Source organism: Homo sapiens, chromosome 4 (genome assembly GCF_000001405.40).
Source record: "Homo sapiens chromosome 4, GRCh38.p14 Primary Assembly".
In the NCBI taxonomy this organism is placed as follows: Eukaryota; Metazoa; Chordata; class Mammalia; order Primates; family Hominidae; genus Homo; species Homo sapiens.
In genome coordinates, this window is record NC_000004.12 from 145,794,750 (window position 1) to 145,817,694 (window position 22,945).

The 22,945-nt window shown below is 40.8% G+C and overlaps 1 protein-coding gene across 18 annotated transcripts in view, besides 3 other annotated features; it reads right to left on the reverse strand.

Moving 5' to 3' along the window:
- ZNF827 (zinc finger protein 827) overlaps positions 1 to 22,945 on the reverse strand; it is a 181,197-nt gene that overhangs the window by 37,123 nt on the left and 121,129 nt on the right. Inside the window, exon 9 of one of the 18 annotated variants that reach the window (XM_017007776.3) lies at positions 18,020 to 18,557. The exons of 16 other annotated variants lie outside the window; for them this stretch is intronic. In XM_017007776.3, the coding sequence (XP_016863265.1) occupies positions 18,523 to 18,557 (35 nt within the window). In that variant the 3' untranslated portion in view covers positions 18,020 to 18,522. One more of the 18 variants, XM_047449640.1, reaches the window with a different exon arrangement.
- Positions 12,588 to 12,807: an enhancer, noted in NCBI's record as "active region_21967". NCBI's record gives its function as "activates an Ori minimal core promoter by ATAC-STARR-seq in GM12878 lymphoblastoid cells {active_cell/tissue: GM12878}" and the evidence as "EXISTENCE:reporter gene assay evidence [ECO:0000049][PMID:35858748]".
- Positions 13,235 to 14,434: an enhancer, noted in NCBI's record as "P300/CBP strongly-dependent group 1 enhancer chr4:146729136-146730335 (GRCh37/hg19 assembly coordinates)". NCBI's record gives its function as "activates an origin of replication core promoter dependent on BRD2, BRD4, P300/CBP, MED14 and CDK7 cofactors, with strong dependence on P300/CBP, by STARR-seq in HCT116 cells {active_cell/tissue: HCT116}" and the evidence as "EXISTENCE:reporter gene assay evidence [ECO:0000049][PMID:35650434]".
- Positions 13,664 to 13,853: an enhancer, noted in NCBI's record as "active region_21968". NCBI's record gives its function as "activates an Ori minimal core promoter by ATAC-STARR-seq in GM12878 lymphoblastoid cells {active_cell/tissue: GM12878}" and the evidence as "EXISTENCE:reporter gene assay evidence [ECO:0000049][PMID:35858748]".

Genomic DNA, 22,945 nt, shown 5'->3' on the forward strand with positions numbered 1-22,945 from the left:
GAAAAGGTTTTTACTTGTCAAGACCTAATTCACAGAGCTGTTTCTACTGTTAAGTAAACCAGCAACATCCACAGCAGAACAAAACACTGCATAACACCATATCCCAAATATTGGTTTGGCAAGAAACCATGGGTTAAAAAGTGAGTTTTCAAAGACAGGGCTTTCAAGCAGACTGGCACCTTTATTTCTTCTTCCAAAGTGAAGATTTTGAAAAATGGCAAACTCTGCTGTCTAGCCAAGGCTGCTGAACCACATGTACCTGCCAGACCACCCAAGAATCAGTCAGTGGCTGGCAGACAGCAGGTGAATCTGCTTCTTCCCTCGAGATCCATGTACTGGGGGTGTCCTCACAGGGTCACGCCAAGTCAGGGGCAAGATGTTATGTGTTTTTTTGTTTTGTTTTGTTTTTTGTTTTTGAGACTAAGTCTCACTCCCTCGCCCAGGGTGGAGTGTAGTGGCATGATCCTGGCTCACTGCAATCTCTGCCCACCGGGTTCAAGTGATTCTCATGCCTCAGCCTTCCGAGCAGCTGGGATTACAAAGCACCCACCACCCGCCTGGCTAATTTTTGTATTTTTAGTAGAGATGGGGTTTCACCATGTTGACCAGGCTGGTCTCGAACTCCTGCCCTCAAGTGATCCGCCCGCCTTGGCCTCCCAAAGTGCTGGGATTATAGGCATGAGCCACTGTGCCCGGCTGGTGTTCTGTTTTACAATGAATTTTCGTCTCTTAGAGCCCATGGCTCTGAGTTACACAATTCTGGGACTACATCTGCAATAATTATGAATCAATGGCATTCTAACATAATCTAATATCCCAAAACAAAAATTAGAGGTCAGATCCCATCAGGCTCAAAACAGAAGCTGAGTTCCTCTGTGTTGGATCTCACTGCATGAATTAGGCAACACGATAATGAGAAGTATTTCCTTTTGAGCCGATCGTTTTGCCCTAAACAAGAGAACATGTAAGAGCTAAATCCCTACATTAGATTCACGTGTGTGAGGTAACATTTAAAAGGGAAGTGGAAGCAGTTGTACTATTTCTGAAAATCTTTGCTGTATCTGCCTAGCCAGAGTAGGGTATCTTATCAGTGGCTCCTCAGCTAAGGCTTCTAATTCCTTTTGAATTTAATTTGGAGCCAGTCAGTGGATAAATCATATAAAATATGCAAAAGAGAACTAGCTGTTGATTCTGGGCACGCATATATTTGGCCCACATAGTTAAACGATCGTGTCTCTACAGTGAGATAGAATGGCCTATCAGAAGCAGTAATAAATCCCAGGTGACTCCACTGAACCATTCTTTCAGGTTTCACTGTCTACCCTACTGAAACGATGCTAATATCCTTCATATTCTGTTAACTTGGGAAGGATGTAACCACATGATTCCACCGGGTGAAAAACTTGCCATTTGGAACTACGGAGGGAAGAAACTTTTACTTTATTTCCCCATTTCGATTATCAGCTTGAAAGGAGGTTCTTCACTCTTTCAAGTACAGAGCTGCTTAAGAATAATTGTTCCTAAAACAAACACACGCAGACATGTTTCCACTTGTTTGTGCATAAAATATCTCTGGAAGGATGTACACGAAACTGGGAACACTGGGAAGGGTGAGAGTTTGGGGTAGAGAGAGATTAGGTTAGCGGAGCAAGGAGCAGTGAATTGTTGGTGGGGAAGGGTGGAAGGGAGACCTTATCTGGTCACTTGCAAATCAAATTTCTAACCAATTTTGAAAATTTGGTGTCACTCCTCTCTTATCTACCTTAACCCCTGTGCAGGAAACACGGTGACAGCAATAATACAATTTACTGAGAGCTAATGATGAGTCAAGCACTCTGCTAAGAACCTTACATAAATTATATCATTTGTTCCTCTTTTTTTTTTTTTTTTTTTTTTGAGACAGGGGTTTTGCTCTTGTTGCCCAGGCTGGAGTGCAGTGGCACGATCTCAGCTCACTGCAACCTCTGCCTCCCGGGTGCAAGCAATTCTCCTGCCTCAGCCTCCCAAGTAGCTGGGATTACAGATGCCCGCTACCACGCCTGGCTAATTTTTTGTATTTTTAGTAGAGATGGGGTTTCGCCATGTTGGCCAGGCTGGTCTTGAAATCCTGATCTCAGGTGATCCACCAGCCTCGGCCTCCCAAAATGCTGGGATTACTGGCATGAGCCAGCGTGCCCGGCCTCATTTGTTCCTCCTAACAACCCATGTGGTAGGTACTACCTTCATTTCATAGATACCAAAGGGAACCACATACACTGACTATGTATGTACTGGATGCGTGTACTGGATGCATGTAATGTGGGCGGTCGGGGGGCTTCCTGGGGTCATGCCAAACCAGAGGCAAGGTGTTAAGGTTTTACAAAGAATTTTGGTCTCTTAGAGCCAGTGGCTCTGACTTACACAATTCTGGAACTACATCTGCCATAATTATGATCAATGATGTTCTAGCATAATTTAATATCCTAAAAGAAAAATTAGAGGTCAGATCCTATCAGGCTCGAATCCGAACTTGGGTTCCTCTGTGTAGGACAGAAGAGACTAGAGAGCAAAGTAAGTTCAGATCTTGCTCTTAAAGGTAAACTCTTTGCCTTTAGGAAAAATTATTTTAGGAAGCTTCACACTGACCTTTACAGACACTCCCTCTACTGCTCTTCTATAATAACAGCCAGAGGATTAATCTTTCTATCAAGTTACAGCTGTTCACCTGGTCACTCACATGAGTCTTATGCCAAGGACAGGTTTGTGAAATCTCCCCTACTCACAAAAGCTGCCTGACAGGAAAAGGACTTGACCTTCTCTGGAGCTTGTTCACCAAGAGAGGCTATCAGTTCTCATTCCCATCTGCTCCTTCTCTCCCTTTCTAGTTCCTGCATTCATTTATTTTAAAAAGAAAATGATGATATGAGTAGAATCCTTGTTTTTCTTGTTGGAGGAATTAACACTCTAAGGCTTGTTTCGTCAAGTCGTTGAATAATTTTTAAGCATTATACTATAATATGTTGAGTTTTAAAAGACTAAAGCTTCTGTGGTATAAATGGAAATGATTTATTCTGGAAATTCTCATTGTATTGTTGCTAAACCCTTACTCCCTCTGAGTGCTTACATTTTTAGCCAGCCTAGAAAATATTTTGGCCCAAGTTAGTCTGAATAATGTTCATTTCCATATGATTATATGGAATTGTTTTATCATTTTCTGTTGATAAAAATAATATGAATTGCCAAATGAGTCACCATCATTCTCCCTCACCGAATTTAAGATTAAATGGATACAGAATCATCCTACTAAGTTTCATGTTGTGAGGACCAAAGGGACTTTGAGAAACTTTTTGAGAAGAAAAGCAAGACAGAGGTTTGCATACTGGAGTGTGGCTTCCTCCACGGACTTCATGTTCACATGACAGTGGGTTATAACCTATAGAAAAGACAGCCTGCTCCTTTCAAGCAATATATATGGTTTGCATTTCTGTCACTTTACATGCAAGTAAGATATTGCCCTGCTTTCAAAATTTACACTAGTAAAAAGTATGAAATGACCTAAGAATGAATATGTGTGGTTTAGGGGCCAAGCTACCCTGACATCAATAGAGGATTTTCTCTACATGTATATGTATGCTTGGAAATTTAAAGATGTTCTGGCTGGGCACAGTGGCTCACGCCTATAATCCCAGCACTTTGGAAGGCTGAGGTGGGCAGATCGCCTGAGATCAGGAGTTCAAGACCAGCCTGGCCAATGTGGTGAAACCTCGTCTCCACTAAAAATACAAAAATTAGCTAGGTGTGGTGGCGTGTACCTGTATTCCTGGCTACTTGGGAGGCTGAGACAGGAGAATCACTTGAAACCCGGGAGATGGAGGTTGCAGTGAGCCGAGATCATGCCATTGCACTCCAGCCGGGGTGACAAGAATAAGATTTGTCTCAATAATAATAATAACAACAATAATAATAATTTTTAAAAAGATGTTCTAACCTTATCTTTAGCCATGTTAAATATTAGAACAGATGAGGCAGAATTTCAGGGAAGGTTATCCGCTACATGATGTTGAAATCTGAAATAATGTAAAAGGTAAGAGAGCTACTGCCATTTGTAAATCTGAGTTGCACTTTTTCCACTGTGAGTTTGTAAATGTCTTTATTGAGAAGTAAAGAAAGAATGTTCACAAATTTAATGATCTCTATGGGACCAAACCAGAAATCTCTGACATTGTTGAAAAACAGATGAATGCAAGGCAATGTTATCTAAAGTTGACAACTACACTGAATTTCTAGCTTGGCCACCAATGTTCTGATGTAAGAAGCTGGCAGTCTACTGGTTCGTGCCCACATCAATTCCAATTTAGCATTATCTTCATATTCAAAGCAGATCTCCCGTTTTGATACTTTATTGGGGTTGTGGGGTTGTGGCTACAAATCCAAATTAGATCAGAGCAACAAATATTGAGATTTACAAACCAAATGAAATTAACAGACATTTGTGTGCTGAATAAGTTAAGGCTCAAATCAGCTAGTCGGGCACAGCAATCACCCATAACAATAATATTTATAGCTCTTAGTGGAGCTCACTATGTGCTAGGGACTGTTCTGAGTGTGTAACATATATATGACATCATTAATCCTCACCATAAGCCTATGAGTTAGGTATTACTGGCAATTTACAAATAAGGAAGTCTGGCACGGAAGGCTGACTATTCAGGATGAATGTAATAGAGTAAAATAACAGGCCATCACAGACACTGTCACAGTCTGTGAACTCTATCCTGACCAAAGGCCATTTGGAATTATTAACCAGTCTTTGGTTTAACCTAAAAGAATTAACCTAAAACCAGACATCTGAGCAGAGACTGCTAGCTGCCCTCCAACATCCATACTTTTCTCCTTCCTTTAATAAAGGAACCCCCCGAGTTTTAGCTGGGCACATGGCTGCCCAACAAAACACTGTCAATCTCCTTACCAGCTAAGTACGGCCACGTGATCAAGTTCTAGACAACAGTGTGACCAGAAGTGATGTGTTACATGCCCTTAAAAAGAGGGTCATGCCCTCGACTTCCTTCCTGCTCTTTAGGATGTGGATGTGATGGTGGGAGTAGGAGCAGCCATAGTAGACCATAAGATGGAAGATGTAAGCCAAGAATGGCAGGATAACAAGAGAGAAGGAGCCTTAGAGCCGCCACATCAGCTCTGGACTGCTTATACTCTGGCTGTTACATAAAAAGAGAAATCACCTTCTACCTTATTTAAGCCATTGCTATTTTGGCCTTTTTTTTACAGCCATCAAAATTTTATCACAACTAATACATACAATAATTTTTTCATGTAAAGTATGCTTAGTTAGTTTATAGAGAGTAGGACCCCTGCTCTATAATGCATATGTTCTCTTTCTTGAGATTTCAATAATTCATGAGCAAGATTCCATCATGTTTGATGCTTATTTTCCAGGCCACTGTTACAATGAAATTGCATGTCACAGTTGTCCAGTTGTCTTTTATAAAACAAGTACCAGTATTAATAGAACTATTAAGTAACCAAACTGTAAGTTAGAAACTTGAGAAGTTTCCAGAAATACATATATAAACATAGTGAAGCAATATCATTTCATCTGGATAGCTGGTCCTTTTTTTTTTTTTGGAAACAGAATCTCGCTCTGTCGCCAAGGCTGGAATGCAGTGGCATGATCTCGGCTCACTGCAACCTCTACCTCCCTGGATCAAGCAAGCCTCCCACCTTAGCCTCCCGAGTAGCTAAGACTACAGACTCCTGAGCTCAAGCGATCCACCTGCCTCGGTCTCCCAAAGTGCTGGGATTACAGGTGTGAGCCACTGCACCCAGCCTGTACAGCTGGTCCCTGAGTCTTAGTTTTAACATGCCCTTTATGTACACATCTGCCAACACAATTTGGTGTTTCTCAACGTCAGCACTACTGACATTTTTGACTGACAATTCCCTACTGTGGGGCCTGTGCTGTGCATTGCAGATTGTAGGATGTTTAAGAGCATCCCCAGCTTCCACCTACAAGATGCCAGCAGTACTTCCCCCAGTTAAGACAATGAAAAGTAACACCAGACACTGCCAAATGTCCCCTTGGGGGCAAAATACCTCCCAGTTGAGAACCATACATCTAATGTATCCTGGGTTGCAGATTTTGAGAAAGCAGAGACTGTGACTATTTAAATTCTAGTAGGGATACAGGCAGGTAGGTCCTTAATGTACTTTGGATGATAGTGGTGCCCTGGTGATTACCAAGGGCAAAGAGCATGAGCTAATTCTTATTTTTTAAATTAAGAAGTTCACTGAGCTTTCAATAAGAAAATTCACAAGGTAGTAAAAAAGTCATAGGCATAATTCCAAGCACATTTAACTATTAGTCCAACTTCCTCTATCCAAGGTTAAGATGGAAATAATTGCCTATGTGAAGGAAAAAAAAAATCCTCTATGTATGAATAGGATTCTTTTATAGAATCTCTAATGGTAGTAGGGAATTTGACCCTTTCAGAATCAAGACCATTGCCCTGTTAAACTTCCAATTCCGTTAGCAGTTGTATGTTGCTAGCACTGTACTTGCAGATATTCAGATATTATATATGTATAATAAAAGAAAATCATCTGCAGACATTTTCAAACATGTAAGCTTTTAAAGCCCCATTATCATGTTCTTCTACCTTGATATCCCCATCAGACAGCACTGAATCTGTTTTGACGGAAACCTTTCTACATTCCATGGGATCAGCTAATTCAAAGCAAATAAAATCCTCAAAATCTCTTTCTTTTTAGAGAGAGTGGGGAAGAAGTGTACTCTAAAAAGATACATCAGGCCCGTCACCTGTCCTGAGATGGGACTCTAGAGTCAGGAAGAAGCTGTCAACTTGTGTTTCTTTCAAATCACTACACTCATCCCCAGCACCTTTGGCATAATTAATGATTGTCAGGGCGTGGGAAGCCAATCAATTTGATGTTCATTTTCATCAACATTAGCAGAAGTAATGCCCCAAGGGTGGGATGGAAATTACATTATGTTTTAATTGAGAGAATTTTCTTTTTGCTGACTTCTGGAGTGGGTGGAATCCAAGACATAACTTCTTTTCCCTTTCAATACGTATGCTTTTAAAAGCTTAGCTGATTGCTGCCAGCAACCAAAAGCTCCATTATTTCAACGTGAGCATTCTACCACTCATGGCAGGGAGGGTGGGGAGGGCAGGAAGGTGGGTCTGCTATTCATAGGAAAAGATCATTTTAGAAAATGGAAATAAAGGCAACACACTGGGGAGAGAGGGTCATTTGTCCCTTATCTAATACACCGAATAAGAATGAAGGCTGGGCATTGTCATAGTTACCTGTATCTGTGAAAGTACATAACTAAAGACTTGTTTCAGATACTAAGAGCTCTAAGAGTTCAATTAAATGGCTAAATGCAGAATTTAAAAAATTTCTTCTCTTTCCTCCCACTTAAATTCACTTTATCATTACTTTAAGACTCTGAAAAGCATTTCAGAGACACTGTTCTTCAATGAGATTCACTCAAATGTAAAACACCATTACTTTCTCTTTCCACTCAGATACAAAGCAGAGTATCACCAGACTACACTGGGAAAAGGCTTGATTCCTTTGTTTTATTTGTTTTCACTCCTGTTGGGCACAACTTCAAAGGTCTAGTTCAGGAACAATCCAATCATCTCAATAAGGATGGGAGTTTGGATCCACAAGGTGTTTGGCACAAACCAGCCTGTTCAGTCAAAACCAAAGCAGCTGGCACAAAGGTGGGAGCAGGGGTGCATGAGGGAGTTCTCAGGTCTTCCTGAGGGAACTCAAAGCTGGGGACTCCAGGCTTTCTTACTAGCTAGCCCAGTGATGTTCAAATTTCTGGTTGTGACCCGCCAGCCGATTATAAAATTGATTTAGTGGATCTCAACCAACATTTTTTAAAAGGGTGAAATAAGTTGGGCGCAGTGGCTCACGCCTGTAATCCCAGCACCCTGGGACATGAAGGCGGGAGAATAGCTTGAGCCCAGGAGTTCATGGAGAAACTGCATCTCTACCAAAAAAAATTAAAAAGTTAGCTAGACAAGGTGGTATGCATCTGTAGCCCCAGCTACTCGGGAGGCTGAGGCAGGATCACTTGAGCCTTGGAGATTGAGGCTGCAGTGAGTCGAGATCACGCCACTGCCCTCCAGCCCAGGTGACAGGTTGAGACTCTGTCTCACAAAAATAAAAGAGTGAAATAAAATAGGATAGATTAAAAAATTGCAGACATGGTACATGTGTGAGGATTGTTTCAGTTACCTGTAACTATCTATCCTCTCTTCTTCCTTCCTTCCTCTCTCCCTCTCTCCTTCCTTCCCTCCTATCTGTCATCACTTATCTACTTTACCTAAACACCTATCTCTATATGTTTTGCATTGTTATTTAACACACACATATGCATACACACATATAAACAGGTAAAACTGTATCTGGGTTTTCTTCAAAAAATTTTAAAAGCCACCAACTCAGTACATCATTTCACCTACTTAGTTATGACAAAGGATCTTAAAAGTCCAAGTCTATTAAAACCAAAACAAAACAATGACAAATATCCTTTTCCTAGTGCAGATTTAAAATTCCTTCTTTAGAGATCTCTTTAATCCCATTAAACTCAGCAATTTGAAAAAAAAATGAGCTCAAGCTGGTTACCACCAAGAGGCTAAGGAAATCACTTCTTTGCTAGCAAACAGTGTATCAGGATCATTCTTAGTTCTTCAATTGCACAAATAAAGGCAGTGATTTTGGAATCTAGCTGTTTGCAAAAGGATTTAGAAACTGTCATGGATATAGTCTGAGAGGCACAGAGCTAATATTATCATCTTGAGAACATCAACCACACAATCTGACCAGGGAGACATCTTTTCTTCCTCCATTTTAGGTGGAGAGGAGTTTTTCCAATTGATCAAAGGATTCCTTATAAATTGGTGTATATGACTCCCCAAGACTCTAGAACTTTAATAGAGCTGGCAATATCATTTAGCTTGAGCCAGTAATGATTTCCCAAAGGCCAATCTCCAACTTTATCCCAGTTCTCCAATCAAATGAAAATGACTTAAACGCATTCAGAGTGTGCTAACCACACCAGATCCTCCTGGTTGGGTTATTTATGCATACAAAAAGAATTCAGTTTCTCAAAATGGATGTAGTTTACCCTAACTTCATATTTTTTTTTTGTTATAACTTATTCTGGTATATGCTTGTGCAACCCAGAAGAGGGGCCACCATTGCCAGATAGCAATCTGTTCATTTCAGTCAACCAAGAATTTTTTAACTCTAAAGTCTCTTCGGTGGAAATTTCTATTAAAAACAGCAAAGCCCTTTTAGAAATCTGGACTAGTTTATTCTTACATGCCAAAAGGAAATGAACGCATATACATATGCGTGTGTACACACAGAAGTGAAAATTGATGTAATCCAATCACTTGTAAAGGTTTCTCCTCTCTCCACCCTCTACTCCCCACTCCAGTGAATTTTGAAGCTTGCATCATTCCAGAGGAAACTGTAATTTGGACTCACTCTCTGGCTCAGGCATTAAGTAATCAACCTCATAGCCTGCCAGCAAGGAGTGGACTGCCTATTTTTTCACTGAAACATATTATCTCACTCCCTATCTCAGCAAACTGCCTCTGAACAGCTTGGCTGAAGAATGGTACAAGAACAAGTCTAGACTAGATAATCACTTTTTTTCTGGTGGCTAAAAAACATTTAAAACAAACATCTAGCTGAACAATGGGTTTATATAATCCAAGTCTTGAAAAGTCTATGAAGAATCTACATTTCCTCAGATATTACGAGTAACAAAGAAAATGTTTTTAAAAAGTGATTTTGACATCTGAAGATTATTGAAGGTAGGTGGGAACTGGTACATTTAGTTGAAAACTCATCTTGAACCTGAACCCTTCAGTGGCTGTGGTCATTTTACTTAGTAACCAGGTTTTTGATGATTTAATATTTAGTAGTGTTTCTAAGTAAGGGAGGCAAATAAATTTCTTATTAGGTACTATTTCCATGAGTGGGGACAGTGCAAATCCCTCCCTCTAAAAGATGCCTATTATGTATTAGCAAACATGAGCTTTTTTGATTGTCAGTATTATATTTATATAACAAATATTTAAGAATTCCATTCTAAGTGACAGATGTTACTGTCTTACACAATATAATTTGATATAACATTTAGAAAATGCCATCATTGGTGGCTTTAGGATTGTAAATCACCTCTTCAATGGCAGTACTGGCAAAATACAAATACACAACAGCCTCTAGGCATGTTTTGTATGCATCTGTTAGAGTAATTTGCAGTTTTATTGGAGAATTCATAGTTCCCTGACACGTCTCTTTATAAATAATGCCGGAGCAATTCCTTTTGTGTGTGTGTGTGTGTGTGTGTGTGTGTGTGTGTGCATTTGTGTGAAGCAAAATTCACCTTTCTGATGAAGGCATTCCCTCTTCTAGAAGGAATTCTAAATAATGGATTTGTCTCTAAAAAAGAATCCTGGTTTCATGTTCTTTAACTTTCTGAGACTTTCTTTTTGTTACTAGAACAAGTTTTGTAGACTTTTTCCCATAAGTATTCAGTTAAATATCTAGATAGTCATTTTTAACTGATTAGGAAAAAAAAATCCCCAAATTTCAACCAAATGTAACAAAATAGAATCCCTCTGTGATAACTTAATGAGAAAAATATTGGGCAACACTCACCATCAATAATTAACTAATTATTAAAGGAACATGCACAGATTCCATCCACTATAAAAATTCTGCTCAGCAAATTACCTTTCTTTGCCTCTTTTATCTTTATGCAGGGCCTCTCTGTTCCCATTAAGCCTTTCAGAGGACATTATTTGGGCTTTAAAGATTAAACAGGAAAGAGTTAAATGGAAGTAAGATCATGTCACTTTTCTGCTCAAAGCATTCCAATGGTTCCTGGCATACTTGCAATGAAAGCCCAAGTCCATGCTATTTCAGATGACCTGGGGGCCGGCTCCCTCCCTCCCCTCCAGCCTCACCTCCCTTCCTGCTGTCACTTCCGCGGTCAAGCTCACCCTGACGTCAGGGCCTTGTTGCTCCCTTTACATGAACTTTCTTCCCCACGAGGCAATACAGGACTCTCTCCCACCCTTGCTTCAGGTAGCTGCTTGAATTTCACCTTCTGGGGAGTCTTTTCCTGACCATTCTACCTTATGTGACCCCTTCCCAAACCCCCTCTTTCCCTTGCTTATTTTTTTTCATGATGTTACCTATAATAGTACTAGTTTATTGTCTGCCTCCCCCTCTAGGGTGTATACTTCATGAGGACAGGGGCTTTGTTTTATTCACTGCTGTTCCCCAGGACCTAAGAAGTACCTGGCATACAAAAGCTGCTCATAAGTATGTTGAATAAATGAACTTTTTTTTTTTTTTTTTTTTTTGAAATAGGGTCTGGGTCTGTTGCCCAGGCTGGAGTGCAATGGTGCTATCTGGGCTCACTGCAACCTCTGCCTCCTGGGCTCAAACCATCCTCCCATCTCAGCCTCCCAAGTAACTGGGATCACAGGCACACTCCACCACGCCCAGCTACTTTTTTTTTGTATTTTTGGTAAAGATGGGGTTTCGCCATGTTGCCCAGGCTGGTCTCGAACTCCTGAGCTCAAGCAATACTCCTGCCTTGGCCTCCCAAAGTGCTGGGATTACAGGTGTGAGACATTGTGCTGGGCCATGAATGAATGAACTTTCTTTTCACCCCAGTGATATGCACACCTCACAATCTTCTCATACTGCTCATCAAATATTTAATGATACTCAGATCTTTTTTTTAATTTAATCCTCATTCTGCAACATCTCTGTATTCTTCGACACTGGCAGAGAAGAATGAAAATAATCTAAGGGGAAAGTTAAGGACAGGTTTGTCAGGAGCCACTGATATCCTTTTTCTAACTGAACTCCTTTGTTAGGAAATTAAACAGATATAACAGAAATTAGAATGCTTATTATACATTTTGATATAACGACTGAAAATACCCTCCCACGGCAGCTATTATTTTATTAATTATACCTAAGTCACTGATACTTATGAGACCAATGATGCAATGAGACAGTACAACAGACTGTCCCATTGAACACTCTATTTTCAACAACCAAGATAGAGAAAATGGCGTGCAGTTCTTCTATCACACCTGGTGCCCTAAGATTAATTTAATTCATGAATCTCCCTTGCAAGGTTAAAAATAAGTAACCACCCTCAAACTTCAATCATTCCTTGAGTAAGCTTCGTGAACCTCCAAATGGAAATGACTGTGATCATAGTCGTATTTCATACAAGGATTTCACATCTTTATTAATAACTTACAGGATGTGTAACTTTAACGTTTCTGAAATGACTCTGCCAAAATTTGTTGGAATTTCACCTTCTGGGGAGTCTTTTCCTGACCACTGTTGTTTACACAAGATTGTTGTACAAGATGTTTAGCAGTCTCTGACAAAGACCTATCCTGTGTATAACCATAATTATTAAGCTTACGGCCTATTAACTCAGAGCACCATGAATCTTACCTTTGTTCCTTAACATCTTACTCCCTCTAAACATTTAATTTTTCTTTATAGAAGTGTTTCATGCTCATTATAGAAAACTAGAAGAAGAGAGACAAGGTGGTGGTAGGGGGAAACAAAACTAAAACCCTCAATCAGAGTTCCCATCATCACCCAAAGATAACTTTCATTTTTCTTTTTCATGTCCCAGTGCTTTTTTTTTTTGAGACATAGTCTCGCTCTGTCGCCCAGGCTGGAGTGCAGTGGCGCCATCTCAGCTCACTGCAACCAACGCCTCCTGGGTTCAAGCAGTTCTCTGCCTCAGCCTCCCAAATAGCTGGGATTACAGGCGCCCACCACCACGCCCAGCTAATTTTTGTATTTTTAGTAGAGATGGGGTTTCACCATCTTGGCCAGGCTGGTCTTGAACTCCTGACCTCGTGATTCGCCCGCCTTGGCCTCCCAAAGTGCTGGGATTACAGGCGTGAGCCACTGTGCCAGGCTGCTTTAAAAAAAAAAAACAAAAAACAAAAACAAAAAAAAAACAAAAAACAAAAAACATTAATTACTATGAAAGGCATGGCAAGTCTTAGTATGACACCAGTGATGATATTTTTAAAATAACACATTTTCGAGTGATAAAAGTAACAGTTGGGAGATAGACCAGAGTGCTTTAAAAATTAACATTTTCATAAAAATGAAAAACAATTTGACCAAAAATTGTGTCAGAAATAACTTTCACATACCGAAAGCTTGCCTACATGTTAAAAGCATTTGCAAGAGTACACATTTTTTTTTTTTTCCTGAGTAAACTTTCCCCTTGTTTTTCTGTGGGTGCAAGTGACTATACAGTACATAGAAAATTAGTGAGCAAAAAAAAAATAATTAGGATGAGTCACCTTACCTTTTAAGTCATCTTGCCACAAAATGGTTACCTACAATCCACATAACCAATTAATTCCTGCCTCCATACTCTAACAAAGACAGCCAGAATTTGGATCTAATCTTTTTTTATAAATCATTCTACCTCCAGGCTATCCCACTCCCTCATTATCCTGTTTCCTGGCCTCTTTCCCATTCCTATAATACAGCTGATTTCCCTGATAACCTCAGCACAGGCCCCTTTCCCAGGACCCTCCCCCATCATGAATCTTTCAAGCCTAATTCCATTGAAGTTAAAAAAGAAGCAACTCATTTGAGTGACTCATTCCTAGATACTTAGGGCGGAGAAACTAGATTCTGCAGCTGGATGAGTCATTTTGACTGGAAAGCCCCGATAGGAAAGAGGTTCTGTAGAGTGCATACAACAGAGGATGGGGAAATTATGAAGGTAGTAGGTACAGATAAACGCAGAACATTCAAATAGTGTTCCTTAGTCTGAAGCACTTTGATACCTTAAAGAGGAGTTCTACTTTGCAAATACCACTTTACAAGATTTTTTCCCAACATTTTCATTGAAAATATCTCCATTTACTTTAGCTGCTTTTAGGTCTACCATTTTTCTGGAGTCACAGTTATGTATTTGCTTGTTTTTTAATTTTATTTTTTAGAGGCAGTGTCTCTCTGACACCAAGGCTGGAGTGCAGTGGCTTGATCTTATTAATAGCTCACTGCAGCCTTGAACTCCTGGCCTCAAGCAATCCTCCTGCTTCAGCCTCCCAAGTAGCTGGGACTACAGGTATACACGACCATACATGGCTAATTTTTAAATTTTTTGCAGAGGCGGGGTCTTGCTACATTGCCCAGGCTGGTCTTGAACTCCTGGCCTCAAACAATCCTCCTGCCTTGGCTTCCCAAAGCATTGGGATTACAAGTGTGAGCCACTGTGCCCAGCCTAGCGTCATATTTAAATGTGGTTCTGCCAAAGTGGATTTTGTCCAAAGCTCCAGGAATATCCTCATGATAGAAACTTCCAGAGAGAGTTGGTGTCAAGCATTCAGTATGAGAATAGTATGAAAAGATATTTTCTCCTTTGTTCAAAATGAAACTAACTTATTGGTGTTTTCTGATTGAAACCACCTTTGCAAAGATGATGACAGTGAGAGAAGTCCAGCATGGCTGACTCCATTCTTGCTTCTGGCCTCACAGACTGGCTGCCTTTGCTTTTTCCTGGGCCTAGGGCAGGCTAACCATGGGGAGAATTTAGTTTATAATTTAACTTTGAAACAATGATGATAATAGTCCCTCCCTAAAACTAATGCCCTTCTGGCTCACAGACTGAAAACTAATAAAAGTCCACAAGACTAGGATTATGAGAAGGGTCTGAATTCTAAAATGAAGGTGTAGTTTCTATAATCCCTTACTGCTCAGGAGTCACGTGGCCAGAGGTCACAAGATGTGTCTTCCCCAGTTGCTTCTATAGATAACATCACTATTGTAGCATCTAAGATTGGTCTTTTGAGATGTTTTTCAGACAGCATTCTGGCAACTGACTGACCCCACCCAGACCCATGACTCAACCAGTCCTGTGGCCCCCATCCAGAGGTGGACTCAGCACATGAGGACCATTTTCTATACCCCTATGATTTCATCTCCAACCAATCAGCAGCACCCATTCCCTAGCCCCCTGCCCACCAAATTATCCATAAAAAACCTGGGCTCTGAGTTCCTGGGGAGACTCATCTGAGTGATAACTCCAGTCCTCCTGCTAGGCTGCCCTGCATTAATTAAACTCTTTACTGCAATAACAGGGTCTCAGTGAATTGGTTTTGTCTGTGCAGCAGGCAGGAAGGACCCATCAGGCAATTACATGATTATGAAAGTAACATATACTTCTTATAAAAATGGAAATTCATAAAATATAAGTATAAATTACTTGACATGCCAACTAAACTGAGGAAAAGCTAACATTTCTAGATTTATTCTTTCTGCTCTTTTTTTCCTGCATGCCCACCGTTTTACAAATCATGGAATCATACCATTCATGTGGATTTGTAACCTGCTTTATAGTTTCACAAACTGTATGAAAAACTCATTTAACTCTGGCTTCTGGTTAGGGGAGCTTACTGAAGGAAGACGGCTAGGAATTATTGCTTTATATTTTTAGCAGTTTACTTGATCTAGAGATTATTCATTATGGCTCCAAATTATTATATGAGTAAAGGCCAATTCTAAAAAAAAAAAGTGACTTGAACACAATGGTTTCCCACTTTACTTTTTTAACTTTTAGAAATTATAAGTGTAATGTAAATTGATGAAAAAAATAGAACAAAGGATATAAACTCAAAAATAAAAGAATGCCTCTCACTACTGTCCCCTTCTCCCAATCCCTGTCCTTTCCACTTGTCAGTGGTAATCACCAGTCACAGTTTAAGAAATTATCCATGCATATACAAGCTATTATGTACACATAAATGTACTGCCTCTTTTTTAAAACATAATGGGATCATGTCACGCATGTTGTCAGCAGCCAGTGTTTCCTTTTTTTATCTAACAATATGTCTTGGGCATTTTTTCAAAGAGATTCCTACAGATCTCCTTCATTCTTTTTTAATGGCTGTGGAGTTTCCCACTGAATATTCATGGTTTATTGAAAATGGTTTCCTACCTATGTGCATTTAGTTTGTTTTCAGGTCTTTATGCTGCAAAGTGTATTTTTGTCCATATCCCTTAAAGTTACTTGTTCAAGTCTATTTGTAGATTAAATTCCTAGAACGAGACATTGACGTCCAGCTCACAAACTAACATGGAGTGTTATACTTCTCTGCAACCAAGAGAACTCATTTCGCTTTTTTTTTTTTTTTTGAGTCAGGGTTTCACTCTGTTGCCCAGGCTGGAGTGCAGTGGCACAATCCTGGCTCACTGCAACCTCCGCCTCCTGGGTTCAAGTGATTCTCGTACCTCAGCCTCCTGAGTAGCTGGGATTACAGGCATGCACCACCATGCCTGGCTAATTTTTGTTTGTTTGTTTTGTAGAGACGGGGTTTCACCATGTTGGTCAGGCTAGTCTCAAACTCCTGGCCTCAAATGTTTGGCCTGCCTCGCCTCCCAAAGTGCCAGGATTATACGTGAGCCACTGCGCCTGGCCCCTCATTTCTGGTTTATATTTTTAATAGAGTATTTCATGTAAGTATTACATTATGTAAGCCTCACCATGGCTCACAGTAGACACAGAGAAGGAGATTGGGAGATGGAATGCAAAAGCACTTGAGAGTGTAGGAAGCTAAGGACAGAAATGGCTATGTACATGTGGTGATTTCCAAATGTAAGGTCTGTCTCTGTTGTTTCTCGTAGGGGTGAGGAGGTCTACAACTAGGGAGGTGTGCAGCTTGACAGCTGTAGAATGTTGTTTCTCTCTTCATGTGCAAGACCTTGGAAGTGCCAGGAGATTTGTGGGACATGTTTCCCAAGCAAGAGGGAAAAACCACGCACAATTTTTTAATCATTTAAAAGAAATACAGATATATCCTTTTCATGGGCTGCCCAAACTCCTTAGTGATTTAGGCCTGAATTTAAATCTGTCTCATACACAGTTTACCATAAGTATTGATGAGAGACTCCAATGTGAACTTTTGCCTGATTGGGATCAAAATATAAAACTGGCCATCGCTAAAATAATTTATACTTGAAAAGAAGCTCATTTGATAAAAAAGGTTCTTTAAAACATCTGTTAGCTCAGAGATGGGAAAAAAATTCTACTTGAACTAACTCCAAGCTTTTTTTTTTCTGAGACGGACTCTCACTCTGTCACCCAGGCTGGAGTGCAGTGGCACAGTCTGAGCTCACTGCAACCTCCACCTCCTGGGTTCAAGCGATTCTCCTGCCTCAGCCTCCCAGGTAGTTGGGACTACAGGTGTGTGCCACTGCACCTGGTTACTTTTTGCATTTTTTTTTTTTTTTTAGTAGAGACAGGATCCCACCATGTTGGTCAGGCTGGTCTTTAAACCCTGACCTCAGGTGATCCGCCTGCCTTGGCCTCCCAAAGTACTGGAATTACAGGCGTGAGCCACTGCACCAGACCAACTCCAAGCTTTTTAATATGAGACTAATGACAGAGGGAATTTTTATGACTGGGAGATTTATTATCACATGAGAAAATCAGTCTTCAGTTTTCATGTTGAGTATTGGACTCTCACATCAAACCATCTAAAGTCTTCTTGTGCCTCCATCTCCCACTCTCTGCTTCCAGAAATGCCTTAACGTTTCTTTAGTGGTTGGCAATCAGCTCGGCATCTAAGGTGAAAAAACGAATATAGCCCTGCAGTCTTTCTACTGTCAAGGTAAACCATTTTATATTTATTTATTTATTTATTTATTTATTTATTTATTTATTTATTTTTTGAGATGGTGTCTCGCTCTGTCACCCAGGCTGGAGTGCAGTGGCGTGATCTAGGCTCACTGCAGCCTCTGCCGCCTGGGTTCAAGAGATTTTCCTGTCTCAGCCTCCTGGGTAGGTGGGACTACAGGCGCACGCCAACACGCCCAGCTAACTTTTGTATTTTTAGTGGAGATGGGGTTTCACTGCATTGGTCAGGCTGGTCTCAAACTCCTGACCTCAGGTGATCCATCCTCCTCGGCCTCCCAAAGTGCTCGGATTACAGGTGTGAGCCACCACGCCTGACCTAAACCATTTTATTCTAAAAGGAGAGTTACTTCATGGGACAGTCGTCCCCTCCTCTGTGGTTTTGCTTTCTAAGATTTCCATTACCCACGGTCAACTGCGGTGTGAAAATATTAAATGGAAAATTCCACAAATAAACATTTCATAAGTTAAAAAAAATTGCGTGTTGTTCTAAGTTGATGAAATCTCTTGCCATCCCATTCTGTCCTACCTGGGACGTGAGTCACCCCTTTGTCCGGCATTCCATTAAACGCCCATTAGTCACTGACATCCTCTGCTCCTGACATCTATCAACATTATCATGGCTCCACGATCCAGGATCACCAAAAGCAGATGATCCTTCTTCTGACACAGTGTCAGAAGGTCAGTAGCAGCCTCACAGTACGTCACAGCAGCTGTCATTCACCTCACTTCATCTCATCATGTAGACATTTCATCATCTCACATCAGCACGGGAAGAGTGAGTATAGTGCAAGAAGATCTTTTGAGAGAAGGACCACATTCACATAACTTTTATTATAGTATGTTGTTATTAAATTGTTCTATTTCATTATTATTGTTAATCTCTTGCTGTGCCTAATTTATAAATTAAACTTTATCATAGGTATGTGTGTATAAGAAAAAACATAGTATTTCCAGGGTTTGGTACCATCTGTGTTTTCAGGCCTCCACTAGGGGTCCGGGAATGTATCCCCTGAGGATGAGTGGGGACTAATGCAGTGTGAGCACCGCATTAGGTAGAGACCAATTCTATTTATAAAAGGCTTTATTGTACATTTTATTTTTGCAAGTGGATCCATTTTAACCTGTGGCAAAAACAGACCCGTATTATAATCAGTCTTACGAGTGCATGTGCATCAGTCAAAGTTTAGATTTTATCCTGATGACAACAGGAAGCCCCCCTTGCCGGCAGTGGCCTGATGAGATCTGCAGTCTAGAAAGATAGTCGGACTGCAGGATGGACAGCAGGGATTTGAGGGGGTGACACTGGAGACAGGAAGACCAGCCAGAGGCCACTGTAATCCAGAGAACTAGTGATGAAGACTAGAATAAAAGTTACTGCAGTTAGGGTTAGGAGAGATCTAGGAGGAGGGATCGATGTAGAAGGACATGGTAACTGAATGGAAGTGGAGGGTGAAGAAGAGGTAATAATGAAAGATGGTGCAGCAGATAGTGTTGTTCCTCATGTCCCTCCCCAGTTACAGGTTGAGCCTCCCAAATCCGGAAACCCCAAATCCGAAATGCTCAGAATTCGAAGCTTTTTGAGCACCAGCATCATGCTCAAAGGAAATGCTCTCAGATTTTTGAATTTGGGATGCTCATCCAGTAAGTATCATGAAAATTATCTATCTATCTAGATATAAAAAAATCTAAAATCTGAAATACTCTTCTGATCCCAAACACTTTGGATAAGGGATACTCAACCTGTATCACTTTTCCTTCACGGCTTCAATGCCTTACTTCCCACCACCAGTACCTGCATGTATTTCCTATGTGCTTTCTCTGGCCACTGAAACCTGGTTGGCCCACATGTATGGTAGACCAGAGATTGGGGGAATTAAGTCTCCTGGGAGCAGCTTTAACTGATGACTGGCTGCATACACATCCCAGCTGTCTCACTCTTGAGGTAGGAAACTCTGAAGTGTGTATCCTACATTGTGTCCCAGAGGTCCCCAGGGAAATTAATCTCCAGTTGGCCACATTGGTAACCTGTTTGGCTGCTTTCCTTTGCTTGGCTCATTTTTCCATCTTGCTACCAGTGTTTCCTGGTCTCACCTCCTAACAAACAAACAAACAAACAAACAAACAAAAACTAGGCCTGGCACAGTGGCTCGCACCTGTAATCCCAGCACTTTGGGAGGCCGAGGCGGGCGGATCACCTGAAGTCAGGAGTTCAAGACCAGCCTGGCCAACATGGTGAAACCCTGTCTCTACTAAAAATACAAAAAAAAAAAAAAAAAAAAAATTTGCCGGGCGTTGTGGCATGCGCCTGTAATCCCAGCTACTCAGGAGGCTGAGGCAGAAGAATTCCTTGAACCTGGGAGGTGGAGGATGCAGTCAGCTGAGATCGTGCCACTGCACTCCAGCCTGGGCGACAGAGCAAGACTCTGTCTTGGAAACAAAACAAAACAAAAAAACCCAAAAATTGCACCCAAATTTGTCTCACAATCCGCTTCTGGGGAAATCCAAACAAATGGTGTCCAAACTTATGGTGTGTGCCATGGTGGGTGATGATTATGATGCCATCTATTAAGACAGAAAAATAGGAGAGGAGGGTTTTAATTCACTGATTGATGTTTTTGGAGGAGTGGTATGAAGAAAGTGGGAGGCAGGGGAAATGACATCTTCAGTTTGAAGCCCTTTGGACTGAAAGAGCTCCAGGGACCTTGATGTGGGATGTCTGAATGGAACTTCTGGGGATGGTGTGGTGAACCTCATATCATGCGAATGCAAACACTGGCCACACTTTTGCATTTCTAGTGAACATCTTTTGTTTCTGAATGATAAAGTGAAAATAGAAAAGCTAAGTATCTTGCTAAGAGACACAATGAATGAGAGAGAATAGCAGAAAATGAAAAATGAAGTCCTGGACCATCATTCCTATCACTACATCAGGAGACAGCCATGGTGTGATGTGGGAGTGTCTTCTTTACCACAGAGAGGCACTCATTTGGCCTAGGTAAGAGAATACAGAATAGATTTGTTTGAATGAAAATAGATGGTCTAGTTTATGAGTGGAATTACTTTTCTTTTTTCTATCCTGGTTACCAGAGGGCAGTTGCTGCCCTGAAAAGAAATAAACACAAAGAAGAAATTGCATGAAATGAGAATATGTATTTTTGATAGCAAAGGAATGGAAGAACATATTGTATATACAGAAAAGGCCTTGTAGATTGAATTAGCCAGTCCCAAACTGAAGCCAGGGTCACTGCATTGCAATTTTCAAACAAATACTCTCCATCATCCATTACACATACTCAAGAATTTGGCCTTTTATAGCACTATTCATTCTCGAGGCATCTAAATAGTCTTTGCAAAAGTAAAAAAGCAACCACAGGCACTGCTGAGGCCTTATAAAGGGTGTTTGGAATATTATGTGAGCACATATAAATTTGATAAATTTGCTCTGTTCAGAGGAAGAAACCAGGCCAAGGCCAAAGTGGCCACAGCCCTGGGGATAACCTATACTTGAGAAACAAAGTCCTCAAATGGAATTTGGATTTTGTTGAGATGGGGTCTTGCTATGCTGTCCAGGCTGGTCTCAAACTCCTGGGCTCAACTGATCCTCCCACCCCAGCCTCCTGAATAGCTGGGATTATAGGTGTGGGCCACCACATTTGACTTGGATCTGGGTTTTATAAGGGCTTTCGGATGTTACCATTTCCCACAAAGCACAAACATGAAAGTGTTGATAATTATTTTTAATACCAAGTGACTCAACCTATCTGGGCAGACTCAAACCATATGGGCAGAGATAAAGGGGCGTGGCCACACAATCACAGTTGTTTCTTTATCTTTGTGGCTTTCTACAGATTCTTCAGGTAAGGCATCTAAACAGGATACACATTTCTCCTTTAGAAAGGTTACCACCCTTAAAAAAGTATGCGTGTACTTTAGTGTGTGAACCTATAAATGCTGGTCTATAGGGGCTGACAACTTAATTTAATTAGTTAATTACTGAGAAGAGCTAACTCAGACACATAGCTGACAGTGCCTAATGAAAGATCTTTCTCTACAACTAGTTTCTAATAGAGTCAACAGCTCCCCTTTGAAATACACCTATACTCTAAGACCAAACTAGGCTGGTGGGGGACAGATGGGGCTAACAAGGAGCACACAATCCTTAGCCTCAAGTAACATTGTCTGGATCAAGAAAATCCATAACTACGAAACTTTCTCCCTCTAGTAAACAGCTGCACAGACTATAGCTTATCTCCTGCAAGTACATCAAAGAAGTGCCATAAGCAGTGTGGAATAGTTTTTGGATTTGAAATGCAACAGGAGAAGATATATCAACCTACATGTCATTAGTTTAGGGCAACCAGTTTGTGTTACAAATAGAAATGTTCCTGCAAACTAGAAGTGGCATAATTGAAAAACTGTTGTCATCATTATCACTGTCATAGTCTGAAGCAAATGTGCACTCCTATTAGCCTGAAGGTGTCCACTTGGCATCTAGACCTACCTATTTGTAAATAAGCAATTAGCCTTGACAAATGCAGAAATACTATCATAAGTATGCAGCTTGATGAATTTTCACAAAATTACCTATATACATAATGAGTAATCAGATAAAGAAAGAGAATGCCCCAGCTTCCTAAAAGCCCTTCTCATCCCCATCCCAGTCACTACCTCTCCCCAGTACTGTGTCTTTCAAGAACTACTTATGGTGACTTTTCCCTTTCCCAACTTTCACTGTAGGTGGGAGAATTTTAGCAGTAAAGCCCCTAGACTAGACTGATTTTCTCCTGTGCTAGCATATAGTTTTGGCCCTAGAAAGAAAATGAAGGAGTCTGGGCTAAAATTACAGTGCCATAACAGATGTGTATTAGTCTATTTTCACACTGCTATAAAAATACTACCAGAGACTGGGTAATTTACGAAGAAAAGAGGTTAGTTGACTCACATCTCTGCATGGCTGGGGAGGCCTCAAGAAGCAGAATCATGGCGGAAAGGGAAGCAGGCACATCTTATATGGAGGCAGACAAGGGTGAGTGAATGAAGGAGGAACTGCCGAACACTTAAAACCATCAGCTCTCGTGAGAACTCACTATCACGACAACAGCATGGGAGAAACCATCACCATGATCTAAACACACGGAGATTATAATTCAAGATGAGATTTGGATGGGGACACAGAGCTAAACC